Below are 21,295 nucleotides of genomic sequence, written 5' to 3' on the forward strand. Positions count from 1 at the left end.
TTTTGGCAGGAGTGGGTAGCTTTATTGGTTGATGCATATTTTGAATCTTTGTCCTTTTTATCCTTTTCTCTCTAATAGCATTTATCTCTTTGTTCCTCTTTAAAAAATGGAATTCTGAAGAGGTCTCTATATCTCTATATTCTCAGTCACACTTAATCCACTTTTTGCGGCTTCTAATAGGTCTCTGTGAAGATCTTTTTCATTTCTTTTCTGACCTTCACTGCCAGCTTGCACTTTCTTTTCTCCGGTTGTCTATATCTTCTTTGTTTTTCTTTTTTGTGTGTCTTATTGAGCTCTTTTCAGAATAATTAAACTGTCTGAATTTATGTAGAATGATTTGTCTAAACACTTCTGTTTTCCAGGTGAATTCCCTTCATCAACTCTTGTGTTCTTCTTTCACTCCGTAACTCTTCACCCTTCTTACTTTTTGTTGTTCTCTGTTGATTTCTTACTGGTTACCACTCATTTTTAAATGTGAACATCTCTTTCTTTGCCATATGTGTGCTGAAGAATAGTAAGGTATGGGGGGGACAGTGAGCTAGGGCTATTCATAACTTATTTTAAGACTGTTTTCTTATATGGACACCACATTCTGTTAGATTTTCTGTCCAAGTGTCATGTTTGTCTTCTATTTTTGGCACTGAGTGGGGAGTTTACTCATGGTGGAGCCCCTCAGGCCACAGGCCTTTTGAGTGGTGATATGGAAATAAGTCCCTAAAGTCCCTTTTTCCTTCCCCAGCCCTTCAAGAACCCGTGGCCAGAAGGCTGGAACATGATCAAGTGGCACGTCACATGGTTCCTCCTTCAGCTCCCCTCCCCTGCCATTCTGCACTGACTCACTGAGAAGCTATTGGAATGTTATTCTGTTCTCACAAGGCTTGCCAGACCCCTGCCTCCCATCTTGATGTCTAATAGGTCAATCTTTCAAGAACACTTGTGGGGAGACCTGTGTCCTGGTCTGGATCAGAGATGTGATGTATTAACTTTCAGAGTCCTCCTTCACCCCGGCCTATGTTTTACGGTATTTGGTAGCTGTTCTTCTAATTTTGCATTTTGGGATTATGACCATTACTTTGCTTCACTGACAATGGAGACTTTGTAAGATCTCTTTTTTGTTCTTTTTTAAAAATAATTTTCCTGTAGGTTTCAAGGTAAGGAGTACCTTTTCTTTTGCCATATCTAACTGGGAGTTCATACATTAGGTATCAATTGACTTTGGTCAAATTAGTTTCTGCAGATGACCCTAAAAAATAAGATGCTGGGAAAAAGGGTAAATACTGTAGTTGCTTCTGAACAAAGTGTTTAACTGTATATAGTTTTGTTATTTAATCAGAACTATATGTTTCTTACTCTAAAATTTGCATTGTGGCAATTCTAACACCATCAGCTGCCAAGAAGATGCATGCCACCCATGTACCACCTTATTTATTTAAAATATATTTATTGAGTATGAACTGTATGCTATATGCATTGTGTTCATTACTGCTTCAAAAGGGCAGCATCATTATGGAGAATGTTTTGATAATCTTTTCAGGTGAAACATAACAACTCACAGTAAACATCTGTCGTACCTTGTATAGAGCTGAACTCCAGCACACATTGATTGGTTACTGTGTATATTTTAGTGATTAGTTTTGGAACTTAAAGAATGACACTTTTTCTCAGTTGTCCTTGGGGTCCTCACTCACTATTCATAGTTCATTGTTAGGACTTTATTTTTATTTAGTCATATATAAGATAACGCCTACATTTTGGGCCCCTTTATTATTTTAGGGTAATAATCACATTACCCTAAAATCTCTAAAATAATTGAGAGACTTCTATAAACTCAGGAGAATTCAACACATTTTTGAGATCAAAGACAATAGTGTTATGGACCTGGGACAGAAAGACTTCTAATGGACACTAAATAACTTATGTAAATAAACGTTTACAAGAACTTCACATTTGTGCGTTTGTGAGAGAGGCAGAATAGGAAACTGTTTTCTCAGCCTTTTGGTCTCAGTTCGTTTATCCTTTTGCAAGTCTTGTTTTTGCATCCTTTTGTAAGTTTTGTTTTTGCATCCTTTTGTTTATTTTCATTACTTTCTTCTGGATGTTCTTCATATCTTTTAAGCATCCTGTCCCAACCTTTCTTGGTATTCCATTGATGATACTATGAATTCAGTCAGAACCCAAGAGAGATATTTACCTCATTCAAAGAGAAAAAATCAGTTTCTTGGGATGTAATTGGCTCCTAAGTAAAAAATACTGAATTAATTCCCCAAAAGGATGAAGGTAAATAAGTTACTTAAGGCCTTTAAATGGATAGCTCAGCTTGCTATTAAGCAAGCTGTGCACGTGAAATGGGGAATAAGAATACCTGGAGTGGTAAACCTTGAGATGTGTCACTGATTTGAGTTAAATGGAGTGGAGAGAGGCTGTTTATCCTCACAATGAAGTAGGCGGCACAGTGAATACAGGACTGTTCAGAGCTCTTGAGCGGTTTATGAGTTTTTCTATGCTAGGAGGTAAGGCAGGTGCTTAAAATTACTGAGGTATATCCTAACTAATTACAGAATCCTAAAGTGAGAAGTGCTGATCAGTTGCGTTTGGAAGAGGAGCTGACAATTAAACCTTCAGGCAAATGACAGACTAAAACTTGGAGCTGCGTCAGTCAAAAATATATTTATGCCAATCAAAATTGAAATAAGATTGCCATTCCTAAAATATCCAAACATATAATATCTCTCAGCACAGAGAAGAGACCCAATAGGATCTCTTCCTTAGAGTGCTAATGAGTATTTTAAAAACTATAGCAGGACCATGGAGTACACTCAGCAGTGATTTGAGCATGGGTTGCAATATGAAAAGAAGAGAAAACAGACTTTTGGATGCTCACATAAGCCAAATGTTAAAGAGAAGCAGCAGTTACTAACAGGGCCAGAGATGCTTTCTTGAAATGTAACAGTCCTGGGGCTCTTTTCCAAGCCACTTATGCAAGACTTCATCCAGAATTTTGGGAAGTCCTTTCTAACTGGATTTTACAATTCCATGAGGAACAGGTTGACGAACCTTCTCTAAATGCATGCTTTTTTTTTTTTTTTTTTTCTTTTGGCCTTCTAGAGCTGCCAGACTTGATTTTCATGTTTGTGGTTTGGACATTTTGGGTGACTACATTGAAAACCCCCTTGAATTACAATGGCAAAGACATTCAAATCATGAACAAACGTCACTTGAGCATGTGGGGCAGGTCTTCCATGGATTATTTATAATAACAAATTTCAGAGTGACTGCTGCAAGCTAAAGGAGATTTATACTGCACTTGACCTCTGGAGAGCTCTCATTTTATGAGGTCTCCAGGTCCCTGAGATGCCTGAAGATAGTACAATTTTCATAGTTATAGGAAAATAGGTTTACAACTAAGCCTGGAGTAATTTGAAGCTTTGGATTTCAGAGCTAAAAGGGACTCTCACCATCCTTATTTTCTTCACTCCCAGCAAAGACCCTTGGAGACCTATGCATTCTTTGGGTAGGACTTGCTGCACTAGGAAATTGAAGATGGCTGTGAATTTTACTGGCCCTAGTCTTATGTTTTCCCAGTGATTATCATGGATATTGGGGGCCTGTGGCCGAAGTGTTAGATGTTGGAGCTGAAAGGAAAGTCGGAGACAAACAAACACACTCTGAAAAAGTGCACAGGAAACAAGCATTTTGCTTCATAGTGTTTAGGATTTCATACTGTGTTAAGCTTGGAATTACATCTGTGGCTTGGCATTAGCTCAGAGAATTATTGTCACCTTGCAATTGACTAATTTTTTTTTTTTTATAAATTCCTCTAATGCATCTCTTAGCAGGTACTACAGCAATGAAAATCTTATTTGAAAGATAATCTCCATACAATCTAGGGCTTAATGTGTATTAGAATTTTCTACTGATTTCACTATACACGGATCATATTTTCCCTACCTTTTATAATAAAACTAAATGCAATTGTTTAGTTAAAAGTACTCTCCCTCCACATTAGGTATACATGTTTTTTTTAAAGATGCCTAATATTTGCATCTATAAAATCACTAATTTTCATAATTTCTTCAGTTTGCCTTGCTGCTGAAAATCCATCTCTGTGTCAGCACATTCATGCGGCACTTGACCTCTGGAGAGCTCTCATTTTATGAGGTCTCGAGGTCCCTGAGATGCCTGAAGATGGTACAGTTTTCATAGTTACAGAATAATAGGTTTATAACTAAGCCTGGAGTAGGTTGAAGTTTTGGATCCGAGAGCTCAAAAGGACTCTCCCCATCCTTGAAGGCTTTTAGGCCTGGTGTCCAATTAGAGGTTGACAAGGAATGGTGACTTTGGCAGCTACAATGGAATAGACATATGGAAAATTCTGGGTACTGTAATAGGCTGGACCCATTTCATTTTTATTCCAGTGGCTACATTTATATGTCAGTGACTAAACTTGTTTATCTTACAATGAAGTTATTCCCACAGAAATCCTTAGAATATTGAATATACACACCGCATTGGCAATAAATTGACTAAAAAATGTGAAGACAGGCAGAATTTGCATAATTTTGATGGTCTAAAGTAATGTTTTGATTTCACTAATTTATTTCGTAAAGAATTTCTTTTTCTTTTATAACCCACAGTCAACTGCTGTTAGTGTTAAATTTCCATGATGTGGTAATTGGCAAACTCTTGCTAGTTATTTCGGATGGCTCACAATGGGAACTTTCTTCATCTCAGGTTCAAAGTTGTTTCTAGACTGTGTGCACTCGGCATATAGAGAAACGAAGTGCTGAATAGCTATCCAGTTGATTAGGTCATTGTAGGCAGCCAATGTGGGCAATCTGATCCGGTGCTGAGGAACAGTGGGGAAAGAATAATACGAGAAAGAGGCAGGAACCGCAAAGTAACCGAAAGGCCAGGCTTTGAATCTCCTGTATTCCTCCCCTTGGCAGGCTTATTTGCCTGCACATCAAGATCAGTCAACTGTAAGCAATAAAAGAAGTTTTTAGACCAGGCTGGGTTCCCTTAGAAGAGTCAGCCTCCTTGGTGCTGGTGGCTCATATTTGTTCTCTGAGTACCTGGCACTGGCCCCCTAGCCTGCGAGAGATTTAAACTGACCCCTTGTACCCATTCTAATCTCCTGTGGTTTTTCTATTTCAAAACCACTGCTCTGGGTGGGAGCCACCTCCCACTTGGATTCTGGCTTACTCCTCCAGGAAGATCTTTGATTATCAAGTAAGTGTGTGTGTGTGTGTGTGTGTGTGTGTGTGTGTGTGTGTTTGTGTATACATGTGTTCATGCATGCCCATTATGGCTACTTATCAACTGTTGACCTACCAACTTAGCCCAAACACTCGATTTTTCATATTTTCTGGTTTCATGGTTTTGTGCCTTCAAGGAACCCCAAATTCCCACCCAGCCAATGGAAATGGCAAGCAGTTGTACTTTCACCATTTGCAAGGCAACTATCTGAAACATCCTTCTCTCCTCTAATTGGATCTGTTTCCTTCTCTGTCTCCAGGACTTATGTCTTAACTCATAACCCCTGAACATCTGAATGGAGTGAGACACTCCAAGCCAAGTGTAAGTTTTAACATAGCAAACACCATCCCTCGATTTCCAGAGAGGAGCCCCTGAGTGCCCCTCCTGTTTGATGAGAAGCAGGTGCAGAATAGGCTGCTTTAATCAGTGCTAAACGCACACGTCTTACTGAAACCTGAATGTGCTGTGCTTCACAATACCGTGGTTTGATGGCAAATGCAGATGATGAAGAGAACACTACGCACTCCATTAACAAGTGTGTTGTAGCTCAGTCATAACTAATGATAATGAAGCGCTGACTGAACGCTCAGTGCTAATACTCGATTGAACTGGAGAGCCTCCAGCTGTCAATGTGATATTCTGGATGCAATAAAAAATAGATTAGATTCTCACCAGGCCGTGCTAGGGCTCCATCCTAAGAACCCTCTGTTGAGACGTATGCAAGAATATCCCTAAAATGGCATGAATAACATCTTGGCTTGAAATGTTAATATTGAAAATGTGCCTGACTGTTAATTTTGATAATGTTTTCTGAGGTCTGAATGTTATGGGGATTTCCCATTTTTCCTATAAAACCATTCCTTGGCGACTTTTTGTGATTATTCCGAAAATGATTAGAGAAGCAGTAGAGATCAGAGGTCGAGATCAAAGTTATAGAAATCAGGATTACCTGGTTTTCAATCGAAGTCCTATCATTTTTTTTGGTTGTGTGATCTTGGGCCTTAGTTTCCACTTTTGTAAAATTGGGAAAACAACAGAACTTTCCTCCTCCAGCTGTTGTGAGGATTTGACAATGCTCTGTTCCTGTAATGACGGAAATTGCCAGATGAATTGCACCTCCAGAGTTGGAGTATTCTGGTCTATTTAAATATGGCTTTAGAAAAATAATCCAGAAACTTCTGCATAGGACATTTAAATCTGGGATGAGTTTGCAAATGGTGTCAGTGTCCCAAATGAAGTTAAGTCCAGGTCAAGGCAATCATAATACTTCAAATTCAACAAGTTCTCTAGGCTGCAGACACCACTATTTTTTTGTGCAAGTTTACATTATTAGGACTTAACACAGTACTTGGCATATAGTAGGCATAAAAGAACAATAAAAATGACCCAACAACTGGTCTCCCTGCCTCCAGTTTTGCCTTCTTCCTAGTCTTGTTTTACTGCCAATGTTTTCTTTCTAAATGCAAATCTAAACCTGTTTCCAGCTTGCTTACCGCAATCAAGAAAGAGGTGCTCTTTGTTTACCAGGAGCACCAGCTGTCTGAATGATCTAAGTCTAGAACCTCCAGGCTCTACCCACTGGTGGAGCTGGTGTCAAGGGAGGGCCATTAGCCGGCTCCCAGTGGGAAGTGGATGGCATACTCAATGTGGGTCACTTAAGCATCATAAATAGATTATTTGCCAAGATATAGGAAAGGATTTAGAGACACCAATAAGGGATAATCCAGTACCTTGGCTGCTCTTACCTCCCTAGGCCTGCCGGAGCAAGGAGGGGGCAGTTACTGGAACCTAGGAGGCTTCCTGACAGGAGCTGTGGCCTTCGGCAGTGGAAGAGAAGGAGGTGGGAAATAAACCCTAAACCTCACTTTCCTCCTGTCTTTGGTTCTCCTACTGGTGACTCCCATTGGACAATCCTAGCTGGAAACCAGAATGCCGAGGAGCTGTGAACACAGGCCAGACTGTGGGTTCCAGGCATCAGAGCAGGGTGAGGAAGGGTGATGATTGGGTTTGGAGGGCCAAACATAGATAGCCTCAAAGGTTCACCTCACTTGAACCCCATGGAAGGAGCTCCTTTTAAGGAGAAAGGGTGAGAAAGGCATGCTGGGCAAACACACATTATGGAGATCTCTCATCTACATGGAGAAGCTACTGGAATCAGCATCTCTTGATGTTGAGTCCAATGTTCTTCAACTACACAGTTGCCTGATGTTCAGAACTTGTCCTGTGACTACTGATGTCATATCTTATGAGACTCCTTGGAAATTGCACCTGAAATTTTATTTATGCCTGGCTTTTAAATACCTATAATTTAACTTCTTTAATTTGGACCTTCCTTATAAACCTCAGAGTATATTTTTAGTTGCTTTTCACATGTCTTCCATCTCCCATAGGTAATTTATACTACTTAGTATTTAGAAGTTACCTATTGGATAGCATGGTTCTTAGATCAATCTTAGACAATTCTCTGGGTGGAATCTGACATATCTGGTGGTAGATTTATACTTTTCCCATTGGATCCTTGTGTGCCCTCTTCTATAAAGTTTTCAGGTCACAATTGATGGGCTTTTTTTTTGAATAGATATCTAATTCACTCAATCAGTTTCACCTTATGTAGAGAGAATCAATCTGCTGAGTTTTCTAGACATTAGCAATACATAAAAATCCTATAATAAAGTATGCTATCATCTCTTTTTGAAAATGAGAAATGAGGCATGACAATTTCTTTCTAAAGCAATAATCAAGAAAGAGAGCCCTGCGTTTAATTCATTATGTGAGTCCACAGAAAGAGCAAGGGAAAAATAAATAATTTCACCCATCTGAGTCAACTTCAAGCCTAAAATTATAGGTTCTTGCAACTTTGACTTAATTGCTATCACAAAGAAGCACAAGTTGCTGTGATCAGATATCTCACAGAATACAAAAGCACTAATCCTTGACATTTCAGAAAGTCATATCATTATATTTGCCCCAACCTGTACTGATTTTCTTTTACAGTGAATTTATATATATATGTATATATACACATATATATACACATACATATATATATATACACATATATATACATATATGTATATATCAGAATTGAAGAAAAAGCCAAAACTTGGGATATTTAAATGAAAGTCCTGTTACCAAAACACAGCCTGTAACAGATGATAAGAACTCAGCTCATGGCATTTCCCAGTATCTACATTTACAATGAATAATGAATATTCTTATTAACATCAGGGCTTGGCTAATTTGAAAGCTACACACTTTCTTAATACCAAAAATCTTAGCCTCAGTCTTTATGGCCTGTCATCAAAGTCAGTATGGTGGTTGGAATGTGGGCTGGGAACTCAGGGCAGGAGAAAGGTCCCTCCCACGGTCATGAACACCAGAGGGAATAACTGTGGTGAGTGGGCACTGGGCACTGGGATGGGGAGGTGACACCTGTACTGCCGTCCTTCAGGCCTGTGACCCACGGAATTGCTTCCTCATCTTGGAGTCCTGTTCCAACTCTGTCCTTATTTTTAATGCCACAGTTTCACTCATTTTCACCTTTTATTCACTTTATAAAAATTGTGAAATATTTCAAGCAAGCATGCAGTTCAAACAATAACATTCATATATCCGTCTCACAGCTTTCTCAAATATTATATTTTTATCATGGTTGCTTCAGATTTTGTTCTTTTTTGTAAGAAAGAAACCTCAAAAAAAAAAAACAAAAAAAAACAAAAGAGAGAGAGAGAGAAAGAAGAGTATTTCTGGAGACGAGCAGGACAGGACCTCAAGTCCCTACTCCAGCCTTTGGTTCATTCTCTGAGGTTATTTATAACCATGTGAGGGGCTTTCTCTTGCCCAGTCTACTATTATTATTATTGTTGTTGTAACTATCTCCAGGGCCCAGCCAGCCCATATTCCCAACCATCCCATACCCCTTGGATGCCATTTGCAGATCCCTCATTATTAGTGGGATTGGGCATCATTTCATATTGTTTTTGGCAGTTCAGTCTTTCTTTTCTGGGCTGTCCTCTTTTGTTATTGATTTGTAAGGATAAAGAATCCTTTATCCTTTTATGTGGTATGTAATAGATATTGATCCATTGTCAGTGAAGTAAGTTGCAAATATCTTCAGCTGTGGCTTGCTTTCTATATTTATAGTATCCTTTATAAAATAAAGACCTTTAAAGTGGAAAGTCTCTAGCTATATCAATCAAACCTTTTGTGGTTTATCGTCTCTGTGTTGCTTTAATTACAGGCTAGTGAGGGAAGTCTTTCCTGCCAGGAGATGTTCATTGAAGTGCAGACTGCTCGGAGCCACACCGCAGGCTGGCAGAGGAAGTGTCTCGGTGTTGCCTTGGCCCGTTCACCCCCTGCCAGGCCAGTAGAGGAGCTGAAGAGTCTTCGCCATGGTTTGAGAAAAAGGTCTGGAGCCCCATGCTGTTCTCAGATCACCAGGACACCTGGAGATGGCAGAGTCTCAGCATTCTAACCACAGCACAGCCCCCACCGAATGAGGGGCCTGGTCTACAGAGCTCCTCAAACTCCACTTTCTCCGTCTCCCTGTTGCCTTCCCTCTCCCATGTCCCCAGTGTCACACAGTTGGCAAGTGCCAGACCCATGCCTGAGACTAGCCTGGCAACCCCAATCTGTTTCAGCACAAGAAAGCAGGCAAGGTGTGGGGAACAAATGTGCCATTTGGAGGTGCCTATGGTTTTCAACCCATGAAAGAAAAGGCAGACATCACTTTGTAAAAGCAATGAGGAAGACAGATCTAAATGTCCTTGGGAAAAAGCCTTTCTAAAAAGCAACCAAAGACTCTATACTGACAATACACATTTCCAAGGCGATCCTAAGAAATCCATTTGTGTAATCAGCTGATAATTTCTTTCTTTCTCCAAAGTGGCTCTGAGCTCAATTCAGACTGAAAAACTCAATAGAGAGTCCTAGAGCCTGTAATCAATGCTTTTTGCTGGGGGACCCTGGGCACTCTTTCTGTCATTCAGAAGCATTCATTTAACCTTGATATCATGGGAGGTGGGGTGACAGGAAGGGCTTCTCTCTACTTTCTCCCTGCTTGGTAGCAAATCTGTGTGAAGACACATTTCATTTCATATCAGCTGGCCTGTCCTAACAGGCCCCGCATAGGCAGGGACGGAAGTGTCACAGCTTGGCAGCCCTTCTCAGAGCGTGGACTCGCCTCTAATCAAGCTCTCCATTGCATTTAAAAGAATGAGAAGCTCATCCTTCCTGTCAATAATGTGTGGCTGTGGTCTGGAATCTTACTGGCCTTAGGTCTTCGTGGGCATTCTGATCTGTGTCTGAGAGTTGCCCTGGAGTGCCACCGAATGAGATTGTCAGCTGGTTTGGGCACTGGGGTGTGGAATGATGTATATAGTGACATCTTGTAATTTGATTTTGCTTTCAAAAGGTAAAAGAAACCTATCATTTATTGGGAGCCTCTGTATGTCACTTTCCATATAGCATCATGTTGAGCCCTCTAACAATCCTGGGAAGGAGGAGAGTGTGTCTCCATTTTTTTACATAGACTTTTAAATTGAGAGCAATTTTAGGTTTGTAGAAAAATTGCAAAGATAGTACAGAGAGTTGCCATCTACCCCATAGCCAGATGGCCCTCTAGTTAACATCTTACATGAGTATGGTATATTTGTACAAAGAATAAATCAATATTGACATAATATTATTGACCAAAGTCCACACTGTATTCAAAACTTCTTTAGTTTTTAGCCTAATAGTCTTATTTTCCGTTCCAGGATCCTATTCAGGATCCCACATTCCATTTGGCTGACATGTCTCTTTAGGTGCCTCTCAGCTATGATGGTTTCTTGTACTTTCCTTGTCTTTGATGACTTTGACAGCTTTGAGGAGTACTGTTCAAGTATCTGTAGATTGTCCCTTAATTGGAGATATTGTTTGACATCTTCCTCATGATTAGACTTGGGTGATGGGTTTTTGAGAGAAAGACACAGAGATAAAGTACCATTCTCATCACATCATATCAAGTATATGCCATTTTTGCTGATGAGGAAACTGAGTCTCAGAGGACAGTGACCTGCCCAGCTCTCCAGGAAGCTCCGGTACCAATTTGAATCCAGCTCTGCCTGGTCTTCAAGTCCATGCTCCCTTCATTCCATGATATCACCCTTTCTCAGGTGATGAGGGAAAACCAGGCTTGAGAGAGACAACCAGGTTGCAGAAAGGTGGACCCCTCCTTCAAACAGCCATCTCTTCCTGTGCTATGCCCCTTCTCCGTCTATCTTACTGGTATAGTTGTTTGGAGTTTTAGGGGTCAAGTAAGAGGGTGGAGAGTTGTGTCGAAAGTGGCGGTGGGGTGTCCAAGCCAACTGGAAAAGGCCAGATGTTCCTTCTGCCCTCAATTAAATGCCCACTCCCATTTGAGGTTAAAATGCCTATTTCCTTCAAGTTCCATTTAACTTGCCATACTTGAAAGTGATAGTTCTGGCAGGCTTATTAGCCCAGGCAATGTTCTCTTAGGCTCTAGTCACCTGAACACCACCTCTACAATTTTTGTTGTATTTCCAAACTACATGAGCTATTATTTACTTAATTAAAAATGTAATGTCATCCCAAGCAATACCACACAATGAAAGATTTTATGTGCCAGTTATGTTTTTTCCCAACTCACATTAAAATAGGTACTCAACTATTGTTATTATTAATAAATCCTCGTCCTTTGCTCCTACCATGTACGTGGCAATCACTAGTAGTGTCTGTATCCCACTCCAGAACTGCTGAGTCACCCAACAGTGGAGGTTGGGAGGAGTAATGGTCTCTTTTTATTTCTTTATAAAATAACTTTTACAAATCAAGGCACATAATTTTTAAAACTCCAATAGCAAGGTCAGGAAAATGAGCAGTCTTCCCTGGAGCCGCTCAGTTCTACCCCCAGGGATAGTGACTTTTACCTCTCTGAGCTGCTGCTTCCACTTTTTCCTTCCTCTTGCCCAACGCTGTGCGGTGGCAGGTGCTGCTGGTGCCCTGCCTGTGTCCCTGGGGCTTGCCACTCTAGTGCCGAAGGCCTGTCTTCTCACTGCCAGGGCCTGGGTTCTTGGTATTGGCACCTTCTCTTGCCCCTGGAGCGCGCTCTTCCTCCCCTACAGTAGGCAGAGAATGTGGGGAAATGGATGCCCCTTGGGAGCTACCCTCACCCAGCCACAGAGAAGCATTTATGCAGCCAGGCCCTGGCTCCATTGCCTCTTGGCAGGGGACCTCTGATGTGTGAGTGTTATACTGGCTCCCCAAGCCTCCCCTGCAGCATTAAGCTCCAGTCGCCCACAGGGGAGGCAGGAATATTGTACTTTTGTTAGCTGTCTTCCTAGTGGTCAACTCTGCTTCTCACCTTGCACCTCATTTCACTGTGTGCAAGTCTGGATTTCTTCCCAGGCTGGAAACTTGTTCAGTGCAGGGATTATGTTTTTCCCTTTAGGCCCGGTGCAATGCCTGTCATATAAGAGCTACTCAATCAATGCTTGTTGGATGAAGAGCAGGCTACATGAACAAGGATGAAGAGATTTCCTGGGCTGGTTTGTACCTGGTGATGCATGATGCTGTAACAGGGTAGCCGTGTCTGCAGCTTTCCTACATAATTGTATTTTACTTAAGTTCCTTTGATTGAAAACCATAGGAACTGACTCTGGGTAACTTAAGAGAAGGGAATATACTGGAAGGCTACTGTGAAAGCTCATGGAATTGAGGGAGGAGCTGGAGCCAGGTCAGCTCTAGGATGGAACAAGGACAACAATTACAGTAATAGCAGCTAACATTTACTGAACACTTCTACATGTCAGGCTCTGGGCCAAAAATGTCATCTGATCTACTTTCACAGCAACCCCATGAAGTCATTATCGTTTTTATCATCCCCATTTTGCCATTGAGCTACTTGGGGCAGAGAGGTTAGAACCCAGGCAGGCTGACTTCAGAGCTTCTATTTTGAACACACATGGATGCCTCTGCAGCAGGCCTTCTGGATCAACTTTCTAGGTTGCCACCTTTGAGAGTCAGCTACGATGGCATCCAGTCTGTCTCTCTCCTTTCTAAGTTTCAAATTCTTGGGAAAAACCATTAAGTTGGCTCGACCTCAATCAGTGCTGAACAAGAGGCAGAGTCAAGTGGTATAAATACGACCCCTGGGGGCCCACTCTGTGTACTGAACCATTTCCAGGGGAGGAAGAATAGGATCTGGGGAGTGTCCCCCTCTTTCCTGCTCTTGAAGCTTTTGTCTTCTACGTCTATGTTTCCAATGTACAAATTATAGTTCTCAAAGTGTGACCCCTGGACCAGCTGCATCAGCATCGCCTGAAACCTGATAGAAATACTAATTCATTTGCTCCATCCTGGACCTGTGGAACCTTAACCTCTTGGGGTGAGGTTAGGATCCAGAGGTCTTAGTGATTAGGGCGTGTTTGACTTTTTGTGTTTTCTGTGCCCGGGTATTGGGAATGGAGGTTCCGTTAAGGCATCTTCAGAGCACTTTCGCCAACAGTTGTACTGTTAGGGTGTACTCAGTTGGCAGGAGGCTGGCCTTGCTCTCTGCTGTTTCTTCCTATTCCTTCCTGGCAGCTGGCTGAATATTTTTCACTCTTTGAAAAGTACACAACCTAAATTAGAGCCCAAGGGTCTACTTGAATCCTACCAAGAAAGGTAGATAGGTCAGAACTTTCTCAGTTACAAGAGACGGAAACATGACTTATACTTTCTTAAGCCCCCAAAGTTTTTTTTCTCTTAAATATCTGAAAATTCCAGGAATTGGTTCCAGTTTCAGGTATAGGTGGATCTAGGTGCTCAAATGACATCACAAATGTTCTCTTTCTTTTCTCTAGTTTCTTCTTTGTTGGTTTCTGACATGCTTCCTCTACATGAAGATCTCCAGCAACTCCAGGGTAACATGAACCTTTCAGCTTATGATCTCAAAGGGAGAAGGAGTTTTCCTCTAGCAGCATCCATATTTGTCCCCTTTCCGAAGATCTCTGATTAGCCCTGTTTGGATCACATGATCTTTCCTGGACCAATCACTGTTTCCAGGAGCTATATCCCCTATGGTAGAAGAGACAGGGGAAGCTTCTTGACAACTCTATGGAATCCTGACCATTAAGGATGGGTTAGACCCACAGGTGTGCTCAGAAATGTTAACAACCTATTCTGCTGAAGGGGGATGGGGGCCTGTGATTTGTGTTATCTTCTGATTTTTACGGTGCAGCCACTCCCAGTATGGGTGATATGTCAAGCTGCCAACATGACAGTACTGAAGATGAGGTTGGGAAGAGATGCTTGGTAGTGCACCATTATATATTAATGGTATTTTCTCCAATGAGATATAGCAGATGCAAGTAACCTCGAGTATAGACAATTACAAAGGGAAATAAAATACTTAGAAAGTGATGAGTTTTCAATAATTATTATCTTTTTTCTATAATTTATTTCAATTTATTTCATTGTAAGTTTATGTAACTTAGTTTTTAATAATGGCTTTGTTTAACAACTGGCTCACAAAGTTCCTGAAAATTTAAGTCACCTCTCTCAAGCTGGTACAAGCTAGGTCCAGCACACCAGAGGTTAGAATCTGACAGGGCTGGAAGAGAGTAGTATGTTCACTGTAGCTGCCATTTCGCCTCCCACTTCTGGTGGAGACAATATCAAATTCACTCCTGAGTGGTGCTTCAAGTGGCTTTTCAAGGTTGAAGGATATTAATAGCTTAAGAGTAGGTCCTTATAGACATCCTGGCCTGCAGCTACTTGCTTTTGAAGCATTGTCAAGTAGGGCTCAGATGTGGGAATAGAGCACTTTTAGCCTGTAGGCATAAAAGTACAGTTCACTGTCAGTTTCTCAGTAAAGAAAGATAGCATTACTTTATGTCAGTCCTAAATGCATTTCACAAAATTTAAACTAAAAAGAAACATAACCTCTTGCTGGTGCCCACTTTGTCAGAATGAAAGCTTGCTTGTTGACAATTGTTCACTCTAAAGGTTCACGAGGAGGAAGGAATATTGAACATGTCCCTAGTCATCCTTTCTCTATTGTTTGCAGAATCTCACTTGTTTTGAACTTACTGGGAAGGAGTAACACTTTGCACTCACCTTTTTCCCTACCCTTGAACCTTCTTTCAGCTTATAGAGGCCTGAGGCTGGAGGCAGGGGGATCAGTGAGGAGGCTGCAGCATCAGTCCAGGTGAGAGATGATGGAGGCCTGAGTGTAAGCATGGAGGTGGGGGTGACATGATGGAGGCCTGAGTGTGAGCATGGAGGTGGGGGTGAGATGATGGAGGCCTGAGTGTGAGCATGGAGGTAGGGGTGACATGATGGAGGCCTGAGTGTGAGCATGGAAGTGGGGTTGAGATGATGGAGGCCTGAGTGTGAGCATGGAGGTGGGGGTGAGAGATGATGGAGGCCTGAGTGTGAGCATGGAAGTGGGGTTGAGATGATGGAGGCCTGAGTGTGAGCATGGAGGTGGGGTTGGAGAGGTGCCTGATGGCAGACTTCGGCCAGAGCAATGGCCCAGAGACCTCACTTTTAGCTAAAAGAGCATAGGCCAGTGATATGCATGCTTAAAAAATGGAAACCATGAGGGAATAAATGTACTCTATAGTCTAGTGAACTTCATATATTTCTTGGGAAAAGCTACTTAACAACAAGAACTGAAGAAACTGTTTCATAACAAAAGTCGGATCCACTCCACCCGCCAACATGCAGCAAAAAAAGTCATTTGTACTTGGGGATGTAAAAAAGAATGAAGCATTACTTTACTGGGGATATTTTCAGTAGGTAAAGATAATTCAGTAGGTAAAGAATTAATGCATACACAGAATGTGGTATATCTCACTAAATATGGGTGTTCGGGGATGATTTATTATCTACAAAATATCTAGTAAAGGCCAACACTCAGACATTAATTCCATTTTAGAGTCTGCAAAGAAAACTCCTACGGCAGCTTGCTTAAAAAAGAGTAAGCTACGTTGCTTTCCTCTTGCATGGGCTGAAACCATCAAACCATTTCTTCTATGGAAATTGAGTCACCTTTTCATCTAGAGAACAAAGTGGCCAGGCAGGGACCAACCTAAGGTATAAACGCAAAAAGGTCACTCAGTGTTTCTGCCAGAAGCAACACGGCTCCAGCTAAATAATGTTCACCTGATCTGTATTAAAGAGAAGTTGAAGGACAAAAGAATCATCATTTAGTGCCTATGAGAAGCTGTTGGAAGTCTTTCTAATGTCAATCTAAAGCACTACAAGGTACATCACTGTGCGCCATCAGCAAATACCCTTCGGATGCACCCTAGAACTACCTTTACAAAGTGAAACTTTTTGGGAGTATTGGAAATATGCAAATGTACCAGTAACATTTAACAGACCAATGACTGAATTTTTAAAAAGTGGCAGGTGTCTATTTCCATAGATCTTATTTACCTCCAACAAATTAATGAATTAGTATCAATTTTCTATTTTCAGATTTGGGTTTGGGACATGGTTGGATATTAGCACTACCGTATATTTTGCTACAACTGACTGAGCTGGGGCAAGGCCAATTGAGGCCTCAGTATTCTTTATACCAGGCAATGTCTTAGGACTTTACAAATACTTTCCCTGGAAGATACATGATCTATTTCACAGATAAGATTACTGAATCTTAGGGAAGTTAGGTAACCTTCAATGTTAGGAAGGGTGTTGAACCACATGCCCCACACTAGAATTTATGTTCTCAATTTCTACCTTCTATTGGTTGCCCTGTTAAGTAATAATGCTACTCAATATACACGGCATACTTTACAGTTTGTAAGGTGCTTTGCCAAACGTTATCTAATTTGAGCATAATTCCCCAAATGCAGTAATTTAGAATTGTCCTTAGTCCCTGCAGTACTCACTTTAATTATTGACCTCCTTTATTCATAGAGGAAAACCAAAATGATTGAGGCCCAGAGTGAAGGCCACATCCACAATCGCCCTGAGATAAGGTAGTTTTTACAGGGCTCTCTTTATCTCCTTCTCTGATCTCTGTAAAACTGTCTGCCTCATGAGCCGAGATTGTGCCACTGCACTCCAGCCTGGGCGACAGAGACTCTGTCTCCAAAAAAAGAAAAAGAAAAAAAAAAAAAAAAAGAAACTGTCTGCCTCATTTGGTATCACACCCAGCTATTAGGCTCCACTAATTGCCAGCTGATTGCTATATTATTTCAACAATGCCCTGGAGCATAGATTACTCTGTGGTTTAATCCAAGAGGTAGTTTTTGAGGTCAGTGTTTGAGGTTTCTTCTGACTCCAGTAGGGCTCTTCTTAGCTGTCTCTTTCCCTGGTTCTCCCTGGTGAACTAGCTGGCCTATGGTTTAGATGACTGCTATTAATTGAGAAGAGCTATCAGCCTCCTCTTATTTTTTTGGCACCAAAATCTCCATTGTTTCTGAAAGTGCCCTTAGGCCTGAACTTTCTCTCTGTTTTAAATTAAGTCATTTCCTTTGGGGGTCTGCTTCTCACCCTGGGCAAAATCCCTGAGCCACCACTCAAGGCAGTGGGTGAGGCACTAGTCTTTGGTCTTCTTGGTTTGCCTCTATCGGTGTGAAACTTCTGCCTTCTGACTGAGCCGGGGCAAGGGCAATTGAGGCCTCAGTATTCTTGGCCTGATGAGCATGGGGGTAGAGCTCTGTGCTATGAATGGAGGTTGGATGGAAGAAGGGAGCCCCTGATTTCTTAACTTCACTCACCAGGAATTTAACCTCTTCAGTTGGAGATGGCAGCCTGCTTCTCCTGGTGAGTTACACCCTTTGTTTAGGACCTGAGAGGAGAGGGACCCCCATCTTCTTGGCCACAGCTGCCCAGGGTGGATGAGAGGGATGGGAGCTGAGCTGGATGGGAGACAGAGGGTGGGTTGTGGTTCAAGTCACAGACTCTTGCAGTTCTTACTGAGTTTTAGTAGATTTCCTTGAATAAATTGCTTCTTCATTTGCTATATGCCCTTAGGACAGTTTTCAGAGACTTTAAATGGTTGTTTGTTTTTTTAACAGTTTTACCAGGTATACTTGTTTCACCGGGGAATAGGTCTGTAGAACTCACACTGCCATCCAGGAAGTGAAACTCCCCGGTACAGGCATACCATGGACATATTTCGGGTTCAGCTCCAGACCACCACAGTGAAGTGAATATTGCAACTAAGCAAGTCACGCATGTTTTTTCTTTGTTTCTCAGTGAATATAAGGTATGTTTATATTATACTGTAGTCTGTTAAGCATATAATAGCATTATGTATACATATACATATGTTTATTAAAAATACTTTATTGCTAAAAATGCTAACAATCACCTGAGTCTTCAGTGAGTAGTAATCTTTCTGCTGGTGGAGTGTCTTGCTTTGATGTTGATGGCTGCTGAGTGATAAGGGTGGTGGTTGCTGAAGACTGGAGTCGCTGAGGCAATTTCTTTAAATCAGACAACAATTAAGTCTGCCACATTGATTGACTCTTTCTTTCATGAACAATTTCTCTATAGCATGCAATGCTGTTTGATACCATTTTACCCACAGCATAACTTTTTGTTAAAAAAAATTGGAGTCAATTTTTTCAAATCCTGCTGCTGCTTTATCAACTAAATTGATGTAAAATTCTAAATTTTTTATTGTCATTTCAACAACATTCACAGCAACTTCATCAGGAGTAGATGGCATCTGAAACAACCACTCTCCTTACTTATCTATAAGAAGCAACTGCTCAGCTGTTAAAGTTTTATTATGAAATTACGGTAATTCAGTCACATCTTCAAGCTCCACTTCTAATTCTACTTCTTTTTGCTAATTCCACCACATCCGCAGTTACTTTCCCCAGTGAAGTCTTCAACCCCTTCAAGTCATCCATGAAAGTTGGAATCAACTTCTTCCAAACTCATGTTAATGTTGATATTTTGACCTCCTCCCATGAATCATGCTTGTTCTTAATGACATCTAGAATGGTGAACCCTTTCCAGAAGATTTTTAATGTATTTTCCCCAGAACCATCAGAAGAATAACTGTCTATGGTATCTATAGCCTTATGAAATGTATTTCTTTAATAATAAGATTTGGAAATTGAAATTTCTTCTTGATCCATGGGATGTAGAATGAATGTTGTGTTAGGAGGCATGAAAATGGCTTTCATCTCCTTTTACATGTCCATCAGAGCTCTTGGGTGACTAGGTGCACTGTCAATGAGCAGTAGTATTTTGAAAAATTTTTTTACTGAGCAGTAGGTCTTAGCAGTGAGCTTCACATAGTCAGTAAACCATGCTGTTTAACAGACATGCTTTCATCTAGGCTTTGTTATTCCATTTATAGAGCACAGGCAGAGTAGATTTAGCATGATTCTTAAGAGCCCTAGGATTTTCAGAATGGCCAATGAGCTTTGGCTTCAACTTAAAGTTATGAGCTGCATTAGCCCCCAACAAGAGAATCAGCATGTTCTTTGAAACTTTGAAGACAGGGACTGACTTCTCTCTAGTTATGAAACTCCTAGATTGCATCCCCTTCCAACAGAAGGTTTGTATTAGTCCATTCTCATGCTGCTAATAAAGGCATACCCAAGACTGGGTAATTTATAAAGGAAAAAGGTTTAATTGACTCACAGTTTAGCATGGCTGGGGAGGCCTCAGGAAACTTACAATCATGGCAGAAGGGGAAGCAAACACATCCTTCTTCACATGGCAGCAGCAAGGAGAAGTGCAGAGCAAAAGGGTGAAAAGCCCCTTATAAAACCATCAGATCTCGTGAGAACTCACTATCACGAGAACATCATGGGGGTAACCACCCCCATGATTCAATTACCTCCCACTGGGTTTCTCCCATGACATGTGGGGATTATGGGAACTACCAGTTAAAGGTAAGATTTGGGTGGGGACACAGCCAAACCACACCAAGGTTGTTTCATCTACAATTAAAATCTGTTGTTTAGTGTAGCCACCTTTACAATGATCTTAGCTAGATCTTCTGAGTAACTTATTGAAGCTTCTGTATCAGTACCTGCTGCTTCAGCTTGCACTTTTATGCTATAGAGAGGGCTTTTTTCCTTAAACCTCTTGAACCAACCTCTGCTGGCTTCCAGATTTTCTTCTGCTGTTTCCTTACCTCTCTCAGCCTTCATAGAATTAAAGTCAGGACCTTCCTCTAGATTAGGCTTTGGCTTAAGAGAATGTGGTGGCTGGTTTGATCTATCCAGACCACTAAAACTTTTTTCACATCAACAATAAGGCTGCTTTGCTTTCTTATCATTTGTGAGTTCACTGGAGTGGCACTTTTCATTTCCTGCAGGAACTTTTCATTTGGATTCACCGCTTGAATTAGCTATCTGGGGGCAATCCAGGCCTAGCTATCAGCTTATCTGGTATTTTGACAGGCCTTCCTCACTAAGCTTAATTATTTCTAGCTTTTGTATTTATTTTTTGATACATAATGTTTGTACATACTTATGGGGTACATGTGATATTTTGATACGTGCACAGAATGTGTAATGATCAAGTCAGTTCACTTAGGATATCCATCACCTCAAGCATTTATCATTTCTTTGTGTTAGGAACATTTCAAATACTTTCTCCTAGCTATTTTGAAATACCCAATGCATTGTTATTAACTATAGTCACCTAATGTGCCATCAAACATTAGGACTTATTTCTTCTATATTTCTTGTTTTAATGTTTGTACCTATTAATCTACCTCTCTTTAACCACCCGTACATTCTTCCCAGCCTCTGTGAACTATCTTTCTACTCTTTGCTTCCATAAGATCAACTTTTTTAGTTTCCACATATGAATGAGAACACACAGTGTTTGTCTTTCTGTCCCTGGCTTATTTCACGTAACATAATGGCCTCCAATTTCATCATGTTTTTGTAAATGACAGGATTTCATTTCCTTTAATAGCTGAATAATATTCCATTGCATATATATACCACATTCTCTTTATTCATTCATCTGTTGATGGACACTTAGGTTGATTCCATATCTTTGCTATTGTGAATAGTGCTGCAAAAAACGTGGGAGTCTTTGATATACCAATTTCCTTTCCTTTGGA

The 21,295-nt window shown here is 40.9% G+C and overlaps 1 long non-coding RNA gene across 2 annotated transcripts in view; it reads left to right on the forward strand.

Annotated features, from left to right (window-relative positions):
- The first annotated feature begins 886 nt into the window (after positions 1–886).
- The window catches only part of LOC105378515 (uncharacterized), a 164,918-nt gene continuing 144,509 nt past the window's right edge, over positions 887–21,295 (forward strand). The window contains exons 1-4 of one of the 2 annotated variants that reach the window (XR_001747606.1): positions 887–1,021; positions 9,497–9,663; positions 14,100–14,390; positions 15,385–15,445. This is a non-coding gene — a long non-coding RNA (uncharacterized LOC105378515). The remainder of the gene's footprint in view (positions 1,022–9,496; positions 9,664–14,099; positions 14,391–15,384; positions 15,446–21,295) is intronic. The other variant, XR_001747605.1, reaches the window with a different exon arrangement.

This window comes from Homo sapiens, chromosome 10 (assembly GCF_000001405.40).
Source record: "Homo sapiens chromosome 10, GRCh38.p14 Primary Assembly".
Lineage (NCBI taxonomy): Eukaryota > Metazoa > Chordata > Mammalia > Primates > Hominidae > Homo > Homo sapiens.